Genomic DNA, 21,388 nt, shown 5'->3' on the forward strand with positions numbered 1-21,388 from the left:
CCCTTGGCCTTTTTCTCCTCTTACTCTGAGGTTATACACCCTCCTTGGATGACATCATCCAATTATGAGTCATAGTTGACTTTCCAATTGTTTAATCCATGCAGAGTACAATCCCAAATGTCAGACCTTGACTCCAACTGCCAATCGAATCCCTCCCGCATGTCCTAAACCCAAACCACTATCTATCTTTCCTTGCCCCTCTCTGGTTTATGTCACAATCATCCACACAGTCGTCCAAGCCACTTGGTGTCATCTTAAACTCCTTTCCCTGCTTTATCCCGGATACCCAATTCACCACCCAATCTTGTTGATTCGTCCTTGCAAACATCTCTCCTCTCCATCGTGACCCAGGCCCAGGTCACTGTCATCTCTTGTCCAGATTGCTGCCATAGCCTCTTTACCAGTTTCTCTGCCTCCAATAACCACAATCCAATCAATTCCTTCTGAAACACAAATATCAGCCCCTCCTTCCCCGCTGCTTACAACCCTTCAATGCTCTCACTACCCTCAGGTAAGGTTCAAACCCCTTAACAGCCTTCCAGGACCCTTCCCAATATAGTCCCCTCCTACCTCTCCAGCCTCACCTCTCACCACCTTGCATGCCTTAGCCCAGTGGCTCTCAACCCTGGCTGAACATTAGCATTACTTGGAGAGCTTTAAAAACATACCAATAAATTGACCCTGCTCCCCAAAATTATGATGTACATAATCAGGGATTAGGTGTGGGCATTTGTATTTTTTCAAATCCCCCAAGTGATTCTAATTTGCAGCCACAGCTGTGAGCACTGCCCTAACCCAACTGAACGGGTTAGAGTTCTGCCCAGTTCCCACGTTCTCCCACATCCCTGTGCTCACCCATCCTGGCTCTGGCAACGCCTCCCCTTCGACTCGCTTCACATGGAAAACACCTACTTATTCTTTAAAACTCAACTCCAGGGAATCTTCCCTGACTCCAGCTTCTCAGCCTGAGCTAGGAGCTTTCTTCCAAAATCACACAGTCTCCTGCACTTAACCCTATCAGAACATTTATCACATTGAATATTAACTATCTATACCACCTCAAAAAAGTGGCAATCTTGTGAAGGTGACATTGTGGGGGTGGTATTTCATCATTACAACACCAGGGTCTAGCACAGTGGGTCACCCATTAGATGACTCAATTCCCGTTTGCTGAATGAATGAATGAATGAATGAATGATCGTCACTCTCCTCTAGCCACGAAGGTTGGAACTTTGGTGTCTTTTTGTTTCTCTATCTCCCTCCCCTAGTTTCATGCTAGTACACATAGTAGGTGCTCAACAAATATTTGTTGGCTGAATGAATAAATGTTAGACACAAGAAACGAGCATTCACCTTGTCCTCATTTTTACAGAAAAGCATTGGGGAGCAGAGACAAATCAAACTGAACTTCCTCCAGTTTTGCTAAAATGGAATTTGCCAAAGACATCCTGAAAAATGGATTTAATTAGGCCCGTTAATAGGGGAGTCGTTGGTGGCTAAGATTTAAAGCTGAGGCTAGAAAAGGTATCGATAATTTGACCATTTTAAATCATATAGGAGGCTATTTGTCACTCCCACCCTAATTATAAGAATGCTTCTCAATGAAACCTCAGCTTTGGAGGGAAATGAAGCTGAAGGTGGAGGCAGGATCTGACATTTCATTGAAATGGAACAACAGAGGCATCACAGCAGAAACCCAGCTGTCTCAGCCCAGGTGTGCCCCCCACAGGGAAGGGGCTTAGTAGCATTGCACAGCCAGGTCTCATTACACTAATGATTGTCAGTACAACCCAGTGTGCCTTTTAATTGCAAGAAACATCCAGGAGAGGGAAAGGTGCTGCAGTCTCTAATGACGAAGTGAAATTCTGCATAGGTTTTCAGAGCCACATGGATATCTTGCATTCCATTCTCCCATTAGGCCGTTATAGAAATTCAAATTCTAATTGGTTCCATAATCAGGTCCTGGAATCTTTCCACAATCTTTAGCTCACCACTGTCAGAAATACTCAGCTGCCCCCAAATTATGGAGCCAAATAAAAGCTCAGTCTGGGGTTTCAGCTTCCTTCAGATACAAGGGGAATTGATCATCCATTGGGGAATAGTCTCTACTTTGGGGGCCCAGAAATTGACATAACAGGACAGCAGGCATTCTACAAATCCTTATTGAATGTCACTTGATACTATGTGATCTAGGCAGGGCTGGGACTAGGATGAGACAGGTTAGGCATTTGCCTGGGGAGAGCAAAATTTCAGAGGGTACCAAACTACTGTAATTACGGTAATCAATATTTTAATACAGTAATATTAAAATAAAAATTAATGCGGAGGCCGGACACAGTGGCTCATGCCTGTAATCCCAGCACTTTGGGAGGCCGAGGCTGGCGGATCACCAGAGGTCAGGAGTTCGAGACCAGCCTACCCGAAATGGTGAAACCCCATCTCTACTAAAAATACAAAAATTAGCTGGGCATGGTGGCGCACATCTGTAATTCCAGCTACTTGGGAGGCATGAGAATCACTTGAACCCAGGAGGCAGAGGTTGCAGTGAGCCAAGACCGCACCACTGCACTCCAACCGAGGCGACAGAGCTAGACTCCATCTCAAAAAAAATGAAAAATTAATGCAGAAGTATCCACAATGAACAAAACATCAAAATTTTCACTGAAGGCTGGATCCAAGCTTGCACTTGCAAGATGTCTCACCCACCTCACTCCAGTCCCAGCTGTGGCCCTAGCCACTAGGGATGCAGCAGTGAACTGGGCAAACCCCTCCCTCATGGGAAGCTTAAGACTTGAGATCAAACAGCTTGCCCACCCTCTCACGCCAGTAAATATGGAGAATGAGGCTTTGAGCTGCTTCAGCCCAACTTCCCAGCTGCACTGCTCTACATGGCAAACTGAAGCCAGGTTCTGCCCGTAAGTGACCTTGAGAGAAAGTCTCTGCATCTTTCTGAGCCTGTCATCATCATCTGCAACGTGGGGCTCCAGCCTCACCCCCCAACGACCATGCTGAATGCCAGGGGTCTGGCATGGGATAGGTGCCCATGAGTGTGTACCCCTCACATTCCATGACTTGGGGCCAGCCCAGCCCCAGCTCAGGGGGTTGTGTGTGCTAATTTAGAAGTGTGGGGAGGTGGGGGGACAGAGCTGGCAGCTAAGTTGGTCTGGGGGTCTGGGTGGCCATTAACTGCCCCCTGGCAATGTTTCCTCCTCCAGGAATTCAAGGGAGCTCCCCACCTGCACCCCCAAAAGCCCTAGAGGAGGGGCACAGTTGACCGTTGCCTTCCTTTACAATCGAGGAAACTGAGGCTCCAGAGTCCAGGGTGCACGGGGGTCACACCAATGGGTCCAGTGTACCTGGGTGCAAAAGGATGCGGGACCCTCCAAGTCCTGCTTCCGTCCTACCCCTTACGTCGTCCCTCTCCTCCCTCTGCTCTGCCCCGGGGGTCAGTACCAGTCTTCAGGGCGACAGAGGCAGAATCAACGGAGAAGTTCAAATGCAGACCGTTTCCTATTTTCTTGACAGCCTATTTCATGGATCACAGAGACCCAAGTACAGCTGCTTATTCAACGGAGAAAAGAATGAATTCATTTTCATTCCTTAACACCCGATGTGACCTACTCTCTGTTGATCTCTCCCTTCAGAGGCTGCTGCCCTTCCCGCGGACTTTCAATTTGGCCAGAGAGAGAGAAAATGTGCAGTAATGACAGAATGTCCTGCCCGGAGAATGCCGGGAGCCGAATCACTGCCGTGCTGGTAATAAGTCCAAATGAAAGATATTATGTCACCGCGTTTGAATTAAACAGATGAACTATAGTCCTAGACCATTACAAATGAACCAATCTGCTGGACGGCTTCCAAGTGCTCCGCGCTGAGCGCCCCAAAAAGGTGCTAGGCTCCAGCGGAGTTTTATGTCCTCATTTTCTGCCAATAAGTCCTCCTCTCTGCGAATGTGGAGGAATAATTTGATGAAAAGACTGCTCACATTCCACGACTTGGGCCCAGCCCTGCCCTGGCTTAGGGGGTTGCGCTAATTTAGAAGCTTGGAGTGCGGGGGGGTGGGTACGGGACAGAGCTGGCAGCCAAGTGGGTCTGGGGGCCCATTAACTGCCCCCTGGCAATATTTCCTCCTCCAGGAGTTCAAGAGAGCTCCGTATCGGCACCCCAAAACCCTCAGAGGAGGGGCACAGTTGACTGTTACCTTCCTTTACAAATGAGGAAACTGAGGCTCCAGAGTCCAGGGTGCATGGGGGGGGTCATACCAATGGGTCCAGCGTACCCGGGTGCAAAAGGACGTGGGACCCTCCAAATCCTGCTTCTGTCCCACTCTTTACGTCTCTCTGAGCATACAGTTCCTACACACCTTCACCCCACCCTTCCGTGACTCAAGCAGCCTGTCCTTCGGGCTCTGCCACCTCCTTGATTCCTGGCCCAGCCAGTTGCTCCCCCTCTCTGAGAGCCTCTCTCCATCTGCAAACCTGTAGTTCAGGGGTGCACTTTAAGAGTTAGGCTGGACTGGGAGTCAGCAGACCCGGCTTGAATCCCAACTCTGCTGCTTACAGTCCATGCAGATTTTAGAAATCTGTTCCCCTCACTGAGCCTCAGTTTCCTCAACTGTAATTCAGGACTTAAAAAGTCAGAGTGTTCCTCGAAGGCCCCTCTGCCTCTAGCACCCACCTGCCACCAAAATCCTTTCCAACGTGCACTTAACATCTTTCCAACTTTAGAACTCAGCAGCAGGGTAAGATACAACTCTTATTAAATCCACCCGCAAAATGAGCACATTTGGTTTGCCTTATATTGATGATTATAAGGCTTAATATCAACACAAAATGATAATATTACGTAAGGCTACCGAACTTTGCATGTGTAACTTTCCAGTAAATAAAGCACATCGCTGCAAGTGTTTCACATGTACTTATTCAGCAAAACTGCCTGGAACACCGTAGCACTGGGGACGTCTAGGCACTGGGGACACAGCTGCAACAAAACACACACTGTCTCATCTCAAGGATATCAACAGCTCACATCTACTAGCCCCATTTTACAGAGGAGGAAACCGAGGCTGAGAGGGCTTGGATAACTCACTCAGGAGGCAGAGCCTACATCTGACCCCAGAGTCTGTAAGAAGGAGCCTATGGCGGCCCGGCACGGTGGCTCACGCCTGTAATCCCAGCACTTTGGGAGGCCGAGGTGGGCGGATCACAAGGTCAGCAGATCGATACCATCCTGGCTGACATGGTGAAACCCGTCTCTAATAAAAATACAAAAAATTAGCTGGGTGTGCTGGCGGGTGCCTGTAGTTCCAGCTACTCTGGAGGCTGAGGCGGGAGAATGGTGTGAACCCGGGAGGCAGAGCTTGCAGTGAGCCGAGATTGTGCCACTGCACTCCAGCCTGGGCGACAGAGCGAGACTCCGTCTCAAAAAAAAAAAAAAAAGAAAAGAAAAAGAAAAAAAGAAGAAGCCTATGGCAACACCTGCCAGGGACAAAAGCCTGTGAGCCCCCCACCCCCTCCCAGGTTCCACCACCAAGGACTTAAGCCCAAGGCAGGGCCAGGCACAGTGGCGCAAGCCTGTAGTCTTAACTACTCCGGAGGCTGAGGCAGGAGGATCGCTTGCCTGGGCCCAGGAATTTGAGGCTGCAGTGAGCTGTGATCACACCACTGCACTCCAGCTTAAGCCACAGAGCAAGACCCTGTCTCAAAAAAAAAAAAAACAAAAAACAAATGTTGGTATTCTAGGGCATCTGAAAAAGGACATTTTTTTCATCCTTTGACTACATACTCACATGAGGGTAACCAACTCATTTTGGTTTGCTCAGAAGTGTCTGATTTTAAAACTGAAAATTCCACATTCCAGAAGCCTCCTTGGTCATGTGCTGAATTGAGAAATTTTTTTGTTTTAGTCATAATCACATTTTATTTTATTTTCTAACTTTAATTTTAGGTTCAGAGGATACATGTGCAGGTTTGTTGTACAGATTATTTCATCACCTGGGTAATGAGCATAGGACCCTATAGATGGTTTGTCAATCCTCTTCCTCCTCCCACTCTCCACCCTCAAGTAGGCCGGGGGTCTGTTGTTCCCCTCTTTGTGTCCATGTATTCTCAATGCTTAGCTCCCACTTATAAGTGAGAATATGTGGTATTTAATTTTATGTTCCTGTGTTAGTTTGCTTAGGATAATGGTCTCCAGCTCCATCCATGTTGCTACAAAGGACATGATCTCATTCTTTTTTATGGCTGTATAGTATTCCATGGTATATATGTACCACATTTTCATTATCCAATCCACCATTGATGGGCATTTAGGTTGATTCCATGTCTTTGCTATTGTGAATAGTGCTGCAATGAATATATGCATGGATGTGTCTTTATAATAGAACGATTTATATTGCTTTGGGTGTATACCCAGTAATGGGATTGCTGGATCGAATGGTAGTACTTTTTAAGTTATTTGAGAAATTGCCAGACTGCTTTCCACAGTGGTCGAACTGATTTACATTCCCACCAGCAGTGTATGAGCATTCTCTTTTCTCTACCACCCTAAACGCGCCCAGGATCTCTGAGAAATTCACTTGCTCCTAAGTGGTTACTGCCCTGCCCTGCCTGTTCTGTGCTTCGTGCCCTCTGCTGGCAAGAGGAGATTCCTGGCCTGGCCGGGGCACTGGTCTACTTCTGGTTCTCTCCTGAGACTCCAGGTCAGTAGTTGTGCCCTGCCTGAGGCCAACGAGGCAAACAGCCACGCTGCATCCAGCTCCAGGAGTGTTAACATCTCTGGGCCCTGCAGCTTGAAGCCCCCTGGAGTGTGACCCACGATATTCTCTGAGAAGGCCTGGTGTCCTTGGGGTCCCACAAACTTTGGGTCTAAATCGTAGCCTTGTCATCTCATAGTTCTGTGACCAGGTCTATGTTACATTATCTCTCCAAGCTTCCATTTCTTCAAACAGGTCCTACCACAGCCTTGGGGGCACATTTAGCATTCACTGAGTGCTTACTGTATGCCAGGACTGACCTCATGTTACCCTTGCTACAACCTATGGAGCAGCTGCTGTCGCTTTTACAGACGAGGCACCAGCAGCCTCCACTGATGCCCCCACCCATGTCCTCTCCACACTCCGGAGTTGGCCTCAGGTACAGACGGGACCTGGTGTGCTGGCAGATGGCTTCTCACTCAGCACTGTGTCTGCCTCTGGACTGTCTCTCCTTCACCCCAGGGCTTTCTCTGGCCACACGGAAGTTTTCCCAGCCCAGCTCAGAGAGAAGCCAGAGGTGCAATAGATGCCCCAGTGGGGATGGCAGCAATGGCTAAATGTCCAAGCTTCTGGGGTGCAGCCACACCACTTCGCAGAGACCCCACTTCCTCCTTAAGGCCCCCTCACCAGCTGTCCTTTTTTTCTGGTCTTGCTGCCTATATACTCACCTGGGCATCTTGAGGTCACCTCCCAAATAAATGACTGGTACCCAAGTCCATGTTTTATGGTCTGCTTTTGAGGAAACCCAGACTGAGAAAGGTTAGGTCACTTGCCCAAGATCACATGGCGAATACATGGCAGATCCTGGATTTGAACTCAGACATCTGACTTCATATACCAAGTGCTTAATCACTTTGCTCTGCAGTTCTCACCTTGACCTAGAGAAAACTCACGGCCTCCTCACTGCTCAGGCAGCTTTCTCCTGCATCCTCCATTCCTGATAGGGTTTGGCTGTGTCCCCACCCAAATCTCAACTTGAATTGTAGCTCCCAGAATTCTCACGTGGAGTGGGAGGAACCCAGGGGGAGGTAATTGAATCATGGGGGCTGGCCTTTCCCATGCTATTCTCATGATAGTGAATAAATCTCACGAGATCTGATGGGTTTATCAGGGGTTCCCACTTTTGCTTCTTTCTCATTTTTCTCTTGCCACCACCATGTAAGAAGTGACTTTCTCCTCCTGCCATGATTCTGAGGCCTCTCCAGCCATGTGGAACTGTAAGTCCAATTAAACCTCTTTTTCTTCACAGTCTCAGGTATGTCTTTATCAGTAGTGTGGACACAGACTAATACACTTCCCATCCCCATCCATCACACAAGGAGTCCACAACTAAGAATACCAGACAATTGTTTTGCAGGCCACACAAAGCTGCATGAGGAGGCCTGAACAGAAGGAGGGGTGCATTCCTGGTGGCACTCAGCCCTCGGAAAGACTCACCACCATTCAGCCACCCCAGCCTCCTCCAAGATCCTGCTCCCCTGACTCCTTACCCTACTCAAGTGGGTTAACTCTGTGACTTCATCTTCAGCTGAAGTTTAAAGTTAAAGATGAAGAACCTGTCCATGACATTCTGGAATGGCCGTGTTTTATGACCAAATAACATAGACGACAGATATGCCTCTGATTTACCCCATCCCTAAATTGAACCTCATACACACACTCAGAGAACAGGTCCCAAGGGATGCAGAGAAGTGTCTTTTATATATGTTATGTGCAACTAAAACAAGTTAAATCCTAAGAGCCTCCACTGCGATAATAAATAAATAAAAAGTTGAAGCTTTCATAGTCTGTTTGGGGGAATTTTCTGAGAAATCCTCAGGAGAAATGTCATATGAAGGAGACACTTAAAGGAATGTTCATTTCAAGGAAGATAGCCATTAATAGAATGGGTAAATTATGACATCCATCCATAGAATATGCTACAGTAGTGAAAATGAACTTGAACTACACATATAAGCACAAGTGTGTATCACAAATATAACATAGAACATAAATTATAGGAGGATAGATAAAGGACGCCATTTATGTCAAGATGGTTTTATTTTTTTGAGACAGAGTCTAGCTCTATCACTCAGGTTGGAGTGCAGTGGTGCTATCTGGGCTCACTGCAACCTCCACCTCCCGGGTTCAAGCGATTCTCCTGCCTCAGCCTCCCCAGTAGCTAGGACTACAGGTGCCCATCACCACACCCAGCTAATTTTTGTATTTTTAGTAGAAATGGGATTTCACCATGTTGGCCAGGCTGGTCTCGAACTCCTGACCTCCAGTGATCCACCCGCCTCAGCCTCCCAAAGTGTTGGGATTACAGGCATGAGCCACCGCACCTGGCCTATGTCAAGATTAACAGCACACAGAACAACTATGTGTAGGCTTAGGGTTACATTGGTCTTTGTGTTTTATTTTTGTTTGTTTGTTTGTTTGTTTGTTTGTTTGTTTTGAGACAGAGTCTTGCTCTGTGGCCCAGGCTAGAGTGCAGTGGCTCTGTGGCCCAGGCTAGAGTGCAGTGGTGCAATCTCAGCTCACTGCAACCTCTGCCTCCCAGGTTCAAGCAATTCTTGTGCCTCAACCTCCCAAGTAGCTGGGACAACAGGCATGTGTCACCACGCCTTGCTGATTTTTGTATTTTTAGTAGAGATGGTGTTTCACCATGTTGGCCAGGCTGGTCTCGAACTCCTGACCTCAGTTGATCCACCCACCTCGGCCTTCAAAGTGCTGGGATTACAGGCGTGAGCCACCGTGCCTGGCTGGGTTATATCCTTTTATATTTCAAGTATAAAGATGTTCATGGCAATGGTGAACATTACATTCAGGGTTGCCATAAGGAGAGGTGATATGAAGGGGTAAATGGATCTTGGGCAGACCAGTAGTATCCTATCTCTTCCAGTGAATGGTGAGAGATGAGTTTTATCGTTCCCTTTTTTCTTTTTTGGTATTTCCTAAGTAATCAAAAATTGGAGCAAAAAATCAATCACATGGCCACCCAGAGGAGGAATGACCTTTCTTCCTGGACAGATCACTCTTCCAAGCCATGGCTGAGCTGTTTCTCTCTAGAGAAGGCATACAGTCCCAGGTTCTGACTTCAGGGAGTGCCAGGTCCACCCAAGAGTCCTCCTGTTCTTGATTGCATGCTAAATGGGCCTGAGTAGGGAGGTACCCACAACTCTGGGCCCCCCAGGAATGACTCTCACTGCCCCCATGACCAGCCCTGTCTTGCAGCCCAGTCAACTCATTAGGAGCATGGGCTTAGGGCAGACAGCTGGCAGACATGGAGATGCCCAGAGAAGCTGCTTCATAAAGCGATTGTGAGGATGAGACCACGCATGCAGGCATTTGGCACAGTGCCTGACTCACAGCCAGCCCTGCAGAAACAGTCACTCTACTCTACTGCTCCAGCTCCCATGCAGGGAGGAACCCCCAGGCTGGTAGTCAGGGGCCTGCGTTCTAGCACCAGTCAGGTGCCAACCCATTGTGCATGAGACTCTTCTTTTTTATTTTTATTTTTTTATGTTGAGGTGAAATCTCTGTCTGTCGCCAGGGTGGAGTGCAGAGGCACAATCTCAGCTCATTGCAACCACTGCCTCCCAGGTTCTAGCGATTCTCCTGCCTCAGCGTCCCAAGTAACTGGGACTACAGGCGTGTGCCACCATCCCCAGGTAATTTTTGTATTTTTAGTAGAGATGGGTTTTCACCATGTTGGCCAGGATGGTCTCAATCTCTTGAACTCGTGATCCACCCACCTCGGCCTCCCAAAGTGCTGGGATTACAGGCGTGAGCCACCGCGCCCGGTCAAGACTCTTCTTAGCAGAGCACTGACCACCCTGCAAGTGAGGACCTAGTAGGTGCTCAGGGACTCTCTAAAGTGAACAAGTGAGAGTCCTTATCCAGATAGGAGCTTGACAACGAGGAATCCTGGGAAAAGATAGAGGTATCCATCAAAGGATGGCAGGGGAGGCTCAGATAAGAGCACTCTGTGGGGAGACCCTTGGGGAAGAGTAGGGCCCCAGTGGGGGATGCTGAGGGCAAGAGGGTTTTGTGATTTAAAAGTACATATATGTGGCCGGGCACGATGGCTCATGCCTGTAATCCCAGCACTTTGGAAGGCTGAGGCGGGTGGATCACCTGAGGTCAGGAATTCAAGACCAGCCTGGCCAATATGGTGAAGCCTGTCTCTACTAAATATACAAAAATTAGCCAGGCATGATGGCGCATGCCTGTAATCCCAGCTACTCAGGAGGCTGAGGCAGGAGAATCGCTTGAACCCGCGAGATGGAGGTTGCAGTGAGATGAGATTGAGCCACTGCACTTCAGCCTGGGTGACAGAGATGAGACCCCGTCTCAAAAAAAATAATAATAAAGTACATATATGTGAGGCAGAGCACACTGGCTCACACCTGTAATCCCAGCACTTTGCGAGGCCAAGGCAGACAGATTGCTTGAGCTCAAGAGTTCAAGACCAGCCTGGGCAACATAGCAATATCTCATCTCTACAAAGAATAAAAAAAAAAATAGCCAGGCCTGCTGGCACACTGCTATAGTCCCAGCTACTTGGGAGGCTGAGTGGGAGGATTGCCTGAGTCCAGAAGAGGGAGGTTGCAGTAAGCCAAGGTCCCGCCACTGCACTCTAGCCTGGGTGACACAGCTAGACCCTGTCTCAAAAAAAAAGTACACATATGTGTATTTGTGTGTATATTCATGTATATATGCTTATACACGTATTCATGCATATACTTCTGTATGCACTCACATATATACATATATACTTGTGTATACAGTCACATGTACTAATATATGTATTCGTATACACACATACATACATGTATAGTCTCTTTTAAAGCAGAAGGTTCCATTAGGGTCGGGCAGCACCCTGCAGGCCCGCTTCGGGGCAGGCCCTGTCTTGGGTGCGTCCCGTTGGTGCTCAGAGCATCCCCTTGCAGAGTGACATTATCACGATCATTCCTCCATTTCCAAGGAGGAATAGCTATGGTTCAGAGAGGTTAAGTGGATCACGCAATGTCACCTCGGTGGTGGTCACAGGATTTGAACCACGGCAGGCCAGAGTCCTTTCTCTGGCTATACTCTAAGATGGCAAGGGGCAGTTATCCTAACTCCGGAGCACTGTGCCTGCTCTGTCTACCCTCCCTCTTCCTCCCCTCCCTCATTTTATTTTATCTGCAGCACTTCTCACTCTCTGAAATCTGTCCCCAGTCTGTTTGTCCCCAATCTAAACTAAGGCCCAAGAAGGAAGGGCTTGTCTGTCTTCTCCGTGGCTGTTCTCCAGAGTCCAAAAGGCCACCTCCCATTTATTTATTCTCAATTCATGTTTGTGGAGCATTCAATCCTCCCACCTATTTGCGGTGGTGTTAAGCACAGTTCCAAAGGCTGAGACTGGAGCCTGAGTGGGTCTGACTTCTCTGCGCCTCCTCCCACCCACGCACTCCCCCACGTGCTCCAGACCAAGAGGAGGCTGAGCCATTTCCGGAAGCCCATGCAGCCTCTGACTCTGGGCCTCGTGGACCCCACAGCTGGCCTTGAGCCCTTGCTTCCTCTCATTCCCCATGCAATCCCTCAGCAAATCCTGACACTCTCCCTTCAAAATATTTCCAGAATCCAACTAGCTTCTCCATCTCTACTGCTCTGCCCTGGCCCAAGCCATCCCCATCGCACCCCTAGGCTATGGTGCCAGGCAGACTCAAGCCCCGCACCTCCCTGCCTTCCTGTTTTTTGTTTGTTTGTTTGTTTTTTGTTTTTGTTTTTTGACAGAGTCCCACTCTGTTGCCCAGACTAGAGTGCAGTGCAGTGGCGCGATCTCGGCTGACTGCAACCTTCTCCCAGGTTCAAGCGATTCTCGTGCCTCAGCCTCCCGAGTAACTGGGACTACAGGCACGCACCACCACGACTGGCTAATTTTTTTGTATTTTTAGTAAAGACAAGGTTTCACCATGTTGGCCAGGCTGGTCTCAAATTCCTGGCCTCAAGTGATCCACCCACCTCAGCCTCCCGAAGTGCTGGGATTACAGGAGCCTCCTGTTCTTTACACAGCAGTCTGTTCAAACTCCAATCCACTCATCTCACTCCCTGCTGAAAACTCTCCCGTGGCTCCTAATGCACTCAGAGTAAAATGCAGAGCCCTTTCCACGGCCCACAGGGCCCACCCTCCCCAGGGCTCCCTCAGTGACCTCCTCCCCTGGCATTTGCTGGTTTTGATTGAGGGACGGTGTCCCTGTGGGTACACACACACACACACACACACACATGCACACACTCGCCATCATTCTCTACTCCCCGGCTCTGCTTTATTTGCCCCTAACATTGATTATCACACAACACGTCCTACTTCCTTCTGTCTGTCTCCCTCCATGCATGGAAGCTCTCTGAGGGCAGGGCTGAACACTGCCTAACACAGAGCAGGATCCCAATCAATATTGGTGGAAGCCCAGACAGAATATGAGTTCAGGAAACATTTGTTGAATGAATGAGTGAAAACAAGCCAACTCTCCAAGTTAGAAGTTATTATGGCGTGTCACATGCAGAGAATCAATGCCTAACTTAGCAAGGGTTTCCCAGGAATAAATATAAGGGTTGGAGGCCTGGAGCTGACAGCCAATTTTCTGGGCTGGTGATGTTCTCCCTGACGATATTCTTTTCCATCTTCATAATGTGAGAAAGCATTGCTTTCCCACCAGGGACTTTGATGCTAGGGTAGGTATTGAGGTAGGAACACAGCTCCAGAACCCGCTGCAGAAACCATCAGGAGAAAACTAAATCTGGTGAAACACATCAGCAGTGTCTGTGAACATGATGTATTAGTCCGTGCAAAGCAGGTGTTGCTGTGGTAACAAACAAACGCCCAAATCTTGATGGCTTAGTCCAATAACAGTTTACAGCTCACTGATGTCACCAATACATTGGGCAGAGGGTAGTGGTTCTTCTCCACGCAGTCACTCAGAGACCCACGTTCCAACCACGGTGGGGCTTTGCTGGGTCCAAAGAACAGCTTTCAAGGTCCCTATGGAAAGGGAAGAAAGAGAAGGACCATGCATGGGAGATATTTAATGGCCCAAGCCTAGGTAGTAAACATCCCTTCTGCCCACATTCTATTAGCCCTACCTACATGGAGTTGGAAATGTACTTTTCCTACAAGCCCAGAAGAGAAATGAGATGGTCTCATGAGCATATAGCATTGTCTGTGCCACACCAAGGAAGGATGGGACACTTGGTCTCCAGGAGCCACAGACGATATGATTATAACCAGGTTTCCTGTGAGAGCCTTGCCTGGAACTCTGAGTCCGGCTCTATCGGCTAAGCTGCTGGTCCGGTGGGTGCCAGTCTCCTGGGTGAAGAAATTGACATGCATGAGAGAAAGGGAACCTGGAGACAGAGGCTGAAATGTGTGTTTGGCTGAGAGGAGGGTTTCTTGGGGGCAAACAACAAGGGACTGGGGACAGGAAAGGCAGCCCACAGCATAGTTCCAGAATGAGACGCCAGGTCCCACTGTAGAAAATGTCTTCTACCCACTTCTCCCTGGATCTTTCGGGGGTTTGGTACTCTGAGCTCAGAAGGATGCTGCTCCATGTGAGCCTTGAGGACCTGCGTCTCTGGAGGTCGCTGGAAGCAATGCCTGGGCAGGACAGCTCTGGTCTTATGCACAAGGGCAGCTAGGGCGGGGACCAAGTAAGAGCACTGCCCTCAGGTGGCTGCACAGGTGAGGCAGAAATGAGAAGCCTGGAATGAAACCACAGAAGCTCCATGAAATGCCTTCCCCAAGACTACCAGAGTAACCCACAGAGACTTAAAAGGTAAACGCTGGGCCAGGCATGGTGGCTCACGCCTGTAATCCCAGCACTTTGGGAGGCCAAGGTAGGTGGATCACCTGAGGTCGGGAGTTTGAGATCAGCCTGACCAACATGGAGAAACCCCATCTCTACTAAAAATACAAAATTAGCCGAGCATGATGGTGCATGCCTGTAATCCCATCTACTCCGGAGGGTGAGGCAGGAGAATCGCTCGAAACCAGGAGGCAGAGGTTGCAGTGAGCTGAGATCGTGCCACTGCACTCCAGTCTGGGCAACAAGAGCAAAACTCCATCTCCAAAAAAAAAAAGGTAAACGCTAAGCTGAGCCATGGCTGTTTACAAGGCGTCACTGTATCCGCAGGCTACAGTCTTGGTGTTCAATGCACTCGATGGGAAGGGAACTCTGATTACTGCATGGCCTCTGCCATTTATCCTGAACAAGCCCGAGTGTTCACTGCAGTCCTCAGGCCTGTAATGTAATGTGCCCAGAGCAGGTGAGGCGGAAGACAAGAGGAGGAAAGATGTGTTCCAACAGGCTCATCATTAATCCCAGCACTGGGGTATCTGCCCTCTTTTGGTTTTGTGCAGGGACAGAGCCAGTCCTGAGTCCCAGCCTACCTGCCTGGGGCCCAACCTCCTGCCTCTCACCAGCCAGTCCCCTAAAGGGCCAGACCTTGTTCCTGCTTCCCATAATAGTTGGCTCCCACCACACCCTTCACTCTGAACATCGCCACTAAGCCACTGTGCCTGTCTCTTCCTTGCCGGTCCTCATGGGGAGCATAGGGCTGGGGATAGAAGTTAGACAGCAAGGAGATGCCCCACTCACCCCTAAAGGATCACAATTTTCAGAGCAAAAGGGATGCTGCTGCGTGCAGCAAAGGGATGCCGCGCTGCCCTGGGCAGTGGGAAAGGAATTCATGACAACGATGACAGTGATGATTAGCAATGATGGTGATGATGACTGTCAAGGGACTTAGCAGCGCTCTCTCTGAGCAACGCCCTCCTTCTTCTCTCACCCCGCACCCCAAACAGGGCAGGCCAGACCTCTTAGGGTCAGGCTAAGCACCGGGACCACCCGTCTTGCACTGAGGCAGGAGTTGTGCCTGATCTTTACGCTTCTTGATCTTTTGGGGATCGTGGATACCCTTGGGAATTTTATGGATGCTATGACTCCCTGCCTAGGGGAAAGAAAGCATACGTGTAGCTCATTGCAGATTTTGTGTACAATTTCAATGACTTCTCAAGGTTTTAAAAATCCACACATGAACTCTTTAGGGGTCAATGAATATATTAATTTATTCCATCACTCAATAAACATCTATGATGTCTACTAATAAGTGGCATGCTGAGTGTTTTCATCTGTAGTTAACTTCTTTGTCAGGGTTGAACATCAGAATCATCTACAAAAACATCACCTGTGGCCAAGGTAGCACAATTTTCAACGCTGACTGCACGTTAGAATTACCTGGAGAGCTTTTTAAAATTCTATTGCCAAAGCCTCACCTTAGGCCAATTAACTCTGTACCTCTGGGGGTGGAACCCAGGCATCCCCAGGCGAATCCAGTATGTAGCCAAGGGCAAAAACCACTGTCTTAGAAAATCTTGGTCAGATGCAGCAGCTCCTACTTGTCATCCCTGCACTTTGGGAGGCCAAGGCAAGGAGGACTACTTGAGGCCAGGCATCTGAGGCCAGCCTGGGCAACACAGCAAGACTCCGTTGCTATAAAAAAAAATTATTTTCAAGTGAAAAAAAAAGAAAATTAAAACATGTTTTTTAGAAGTTCCCTAGGTGGTGATGCACACCTCGGGGTCATTCATTTATTCACTAAATCAACGTCTAGTGAGCATCAGGCAGTGTGCTGGGCCTTGAGGGCAGAGCAGAGAATAAGAAATCAGAATCTCTGCCCTCATTAAGTTTATATTCTGGCTGAGGACCTGGCAATAAATAACCAGTACATAATTCATTCATGTCACAAGGAACATCAATTAGGAAGTGGCATAAAGGATGACAGCAGGGGCCAGGTGCAGTGCCTCACGCCTGTAATCCCAGCACTTCAGGAGGCCGAGGCAAGTTCGAGACCAGCCTGGCCAACATGGTGAAATTCCATCTCTACTAAAAATACAAAGATTATCTGGCTGAGGTGGCACATGCCCATAATCCCAACTACTCAGGAGGCTGAGGCAGGAGAATTGCTTGAACCTGGGAGGCGGAGGTTGCAGTGAGTGGAAATTATGCCATTGCACTCCAGCCTGGGCAACAGAGTGAGACTCTGTCTCAAAAAAAAAAGTGGGAGTGGGGGAGGCCAGGCTGTAATCCCAGCACTTTGGGAGACTGAGGCGGGCGGATCACCTGAGGTCGGGAGTTTGAGACCAGCCTGACCAACATGGAGAAATCGTCTCTACTGAAAATACAAAATTAGCTGGGCGTGGTGGCGCATGCCTGTAATCTCAGCCACTCGGGAGGCTGAGGCAGGGAGGCATGCCATTGCACTCCAGCCTGGGTAACAAGAGTGGAGCTTGCAGTGAGCCGAGATCACTCTGTCTCAAAAAAAAAAGAGGATGCCAGAGGGGAAAAAAGCACCCTGAGGGGTGAAAACAGCCAGTGCCAAGGCCCTGCAGCAGGTAAGAGCATCAAATCATGAAATCATGAGACCATGCTCCAAAGAGCTAAAGAAACCACTAACAGAAATTCTTGAATTTGCAGGAAGGCAAATAAAAAAAGAAACAATTTGAAACTCCTTTCACTTATAACAAAACCAGCTGCAATCAGCTGGAAGCAATATGGCCAACTGGAGTTAGTGCAAGACCAGCTTGCTGATGTCACAGCCTGAATTTCCACTGCATGTTTCACACTCACTCCCTCCAAATTTGCACATGGGACCCATGAGGAGGCATGAAGAGGTAACTGCACATGCCAAAGGTCTTTGCAGACCTCACTTCTCCTTGCACCAATAACCTACTAATCTCAGAATCCACTCCCTAAACCTTTTCTAATAAAACTACTGCCTTAAAGCCAGCACAGGGAGAGAGATTTGAGCTGACTCCTGCCTCCTTCTGAGCCAACTTGCAATAAAAAGCTTTTCTCAGAAACCCAGTTTCATAGTGTTGGGGTCCAGGGCATCCAGCTGTGAGTCCCTTTTGCAATAAGAGAGTGCTCAGCCTGGTCAAGCATCCAAGGTGAGAAAGGGGCAGGGCGTGGTGTGTGATGAAGTTGGGAGAGCCAGACCAGGCCAGGGCCTTGATGATCCGGCCTGCTGTATTCCCTCCTGTCCTCAAAACCACTCAGCAGGCCGGGTGCGGTGGCTTACGCCTATAATCCCAGCACTTTGGGAGGCCGAGGCGAGCAGATAGCTCCAGGTCAGGAGTTGAAGATCATCCTAGGCAACATGGTGAAACCCCATCTCTACTAAAAATACAAAAATTAGCCAGGCATGGTGGCGGGCGCCTGTAATCCCAGCTACTTGTGAGGCTGAGGCAGGAGAATCGCTTGAACCCGGGAGGCAGAGCTTGGAGTGAGCCCAGATCTCACTACTGTACTCCGGCCTGGATGACAGAGTGAGACTCCATCTCAAAAAACAAACAAACAGAAAATAAAAAATAAATAAAAATAAAAAAATGAAACACTCAGCAAGCAGGCAGAGACTTGGGAGAGAAGAAACTCGGCTCATAGGATCTCGGCTGGGACACACGCCTGAGGCCCCTGACCTGATGTCTGGCCACAGACTCCTCAGAAAGGCTCCCGAGAGGGTGACACCCACCCCCTCTGGCCATGAGCCCCTTTCTGCCCCACTCCTACCCTCCAGGCCAGGCCACTGATGTCACTGGTGCCAGGACAGCATTGTTCTCCCTCCCACACCCGCCTTCACCTCACAAGCCCCATCACCATGGGAACTGAGCCAGCCACTCAGAACACAGAGTTTTCAAAGGGCAGCCTTATATACGGAGTCACCTCTCCCCAGAGAGGTCACAGCCAACATTCAGAGGCCTCCCAGGGCCCCCTCTCCCTGGATAAACCACTTCAGCTGCCCCCCATTTTTCTCGAGGGAGAAAAAGGGGAATCCTCTGTCCAGAATGAGCAGGAAGGAGAGCCAAGCCTACAGTCACCCAGCTTAGAGCTCCAGTCCCCTGCGTGGCCACGCCATGCAGGAGTGGCTCAGGAGCCCCTGAAAGTGTCCAGCAGCTACCTCAGTGACACCCAGAGCAGCGAGAGTCATGTTTCCAGCGTGCAGCACCCGAGGCCAGAGGAGGGCAGCCATGCCAGCCTGAGCAGCGGGTACGCAGGGGACAAGGAGGGCAGCGACATCAGCTTGGTGGGCAGCCACCGGAGAGTGCGGCTGAACAGAAGGCTCAACACCCAGGCGGCCAGTAACCAAACCAGCCAGCTGGGCTCCATAGACCCTCCCAGCTCTCTAAAGAGCCGGCTGACTGGCCCCGCCCACAGCACCAAGCAGACTGGAGGGAAAGAGTGAGGCCAGCCTGCCCGGCAGCGGCAGCGGCAGCAGCATCCTGTCCAGCGCCAGCTTCATCAGCTTGGGCAGCAGTGCCCTCACCTACAAGGTGAGCAGCGGGCTGCTGACTTCCACAGCCAGCCTTCCCTCCACCCAGGCCAGCAGCCGTCAGAGCGTCCGGCTGGATGGCAGTGCCCAAAACAGGCAGAGCAGCCACACCAGCGTGCAGGAGGACAAGACGGGCGGCAACGTGAAAACCAGTGAGCAGGTCACCACGGGGGAGCAGCCTGCCCAGGTGTGCATGCCTTTGTGAGAATCCTCTCCAGCAGCCAGAGTCTCCCAGAAAACAACACACAGGCCCAGCAAACACAGGCTGCACCCAGAGTGGATATTCCCAAAACAAGTAGGAAAGGTGTTTTCAAAAGCACACACTGACTGTGTCAACCATCAGTGGGTAATCCCATTTGTAGCAACAAGCATCAGTGGGCAGGCCACATGTAGCAGGAAGGATCTATGCTGAGCACCGCCTATCCTGAGAACACAGTCAGTGAGGAGACTGTCTATACTGAGAACCACTGTTGCTAGGAAGAGCTGTAGTATCAAGATTCACCAATGCTGAGTCCACCTGTGTCAAAACAGCGAAGAGTAATGACATCGACTGTGAACTTCAGTGACAAGCCATCTATAACAAGATCCATCAATGGCAAAACCATCTGTAGTCAGCAGCATCCTGGTGGGACCCCCTGTACCAAAACTCATCAGTGGCGACAGATGTTCTCGATGGCAAACGCTGACGATATTAAGAACTGTCACGAGTTAGAACCTTCCATGATGAAACCATCCTAAATGATGAATGCCATCTGCAACCAACACCAGCCACGATGAGCTCAGAAGAAACAAGCTGCAACCATGGTTGGGACTGTCCATATCAAGAACCATCTGCAGTGAGCGCCATGCGTGGAGAGCCACATCCACATGAAACTTCATCCTGGCCAAGCAGCACCACACTCTGTCCATCATTGTCACTGCCCGCAGAAGCACTAGCAAGACAGCCACGGTGCACACGGAGCACCTTCACGACTCTCAGCTCCCCCAAGGAGTCCAGACTAAGTGACTGTCACCAGAGAAGGATCATCAGGAGCAGCCAGGGATGCCCCCGGCACACAGGGACTAGGTCTAGTGAGAACATTAGAGGGCGGTGTAAATGGATCCCCATGCCTGGGCACCTGTAATCCCAACTACTTGGGAGGCACCATCCCAGAGAGCTCCAAGCGTCCTTTTTTTTTTTTTTTTCCTTTGAGTGCTGTCTCTGGACATCTTCAGCCCAGAATCTTCTCAGGAGCAAAGGCTTCCTGATGCCTCATTCATGTCAAGAAAGGAGGCCAGGAGCCATCCTGTGTTCAGATGGTTGAGACAGTGACTACGATGGCAGGACAATGCCGTGAGAAGCACTTCATGGTGACAGAGCCCAACCCAGCCGGGAACAGCTGCGATGGGGAAGCTCTGGAGCATTTTGTGAGCACCGTCTCGGTGGATGGGAAAGCCGAAGTCTCTGCCCGTCTCTTACTGGAGGCACTAAACCCCCTCCCTGGGTTGACCTCACAGACATTGAAGTGAGTCTGCCCACAAAGGAAAAGAGGCCAGAGACTGTCGTGAAGACATCCACTAGGTACCAGAAGGAAAGCTGAGGGGGCAGCAAAGACAATAAAAGGTGTCTAGAGAGGTCATATGTGTGTGGGTCTGTGTGTGCGTTCCCGGCCGAGCTCACAGGAGGGGTGGGCCACAAACACACTAAAGAACCATGGAGAGAGTTGGGCATGGCTACCAACTCTGCCACTGCTGTGCTGGCCATCTGGGCAAAATAGTTAAACTTTCAGAGCCTCAGTTTCCTCATCTGGGAAATGGGGACAGTAACCCCTATTTCATACATAGGATGGTTATGTGGATTACATGAAAATGTATATCAAGTACCCAGCAAGGGATAAGTACTAATGTAATGTATTTCTTTCCCTTTTCTTTTTTTTTTCCTTTTTATTTTTTAACTTTTAAGTTCAGGGGCACATGTACAGGATGTGCAGGTTTGTTACAGAGGAGAATGTGTGTCATGGGGGTTTGTTATACAGATTATTTTATAACCCAGGCATTAAGTGTAGTATCCATTAGTTATTTTTCCTGATCTTCTCCCTCCTCCCACTCCCCACCCTCCGATAGACCCCAGTGTGTGTTGTTCCCCTCTATGTGTCTATGTGTTCTCATCATTTAGCTCCCACTTCTAAGTGAGAATATGCGGTATTTGGTTTTCTGTTCCTGCCTTAGTTTACTAAGGATAATGGCCTCCACCTCCATCCCTGTCCCTGCAAAGGGCATGATCTCTTTTTTTTATAGCTGCATAAT

General features: G+C 49.5%; 1 protein-coding gene and 1 long non-coding RNA gene across 2 annotated transcripts; one reads left to right on the plus strand and one right to left on the minus strand.

Moving 5' to 3' along the window:
• Positions 1 to 13,538: 13,538 nt before the first annotated feature.
• LOC105371154 (uncharacterized) lies at positions 13,539 to 14,292 on the minus strand. Its single transcript, XR_950954.2, has 3 exons — positions 14,270 to 14,292; positions 13,866 to 14,084; positions 13,539 to 13,760 (listed from the first exon to the last, which is right to left on the minus strand). It is a non-coding gene; the product is annotated as an uncharacterized LOC105371154 (long non-coding RNA).
• Positions 14,293 to 18,481: 4,189 nt separating this feature from the next.
• Positions 18,482 to 20,721, plus strand: C16orf82 (chromosome 16 open reading frame 82). The gene has a single exon (NM_001145545.2). It carries the CDS (start codon positions 18,551 to 18,553, stop codon positions 19,013 to 19,015), a length of 465 nt encoding a protein of 154 aa, NP_001139017.1. The 5' UTR covers positions 18,482 to 18,550; the 3' UTR covers positions 19,016 to 20,721.
• Positions 20,722 to 21,388: the final 667 nt, after the last annotated feature.

Source organism: Homo sapiens, chromosome 16, assembly GCF_000001405.40.
Source record: "Homo sapiens chromosome 16, GRCh38.p14 Primary Assembly".
NCBI lineage: Eukaryota > Metazoa > Chordata > Mammalia > Primates > Hominidae > Homo > Homo sapiens.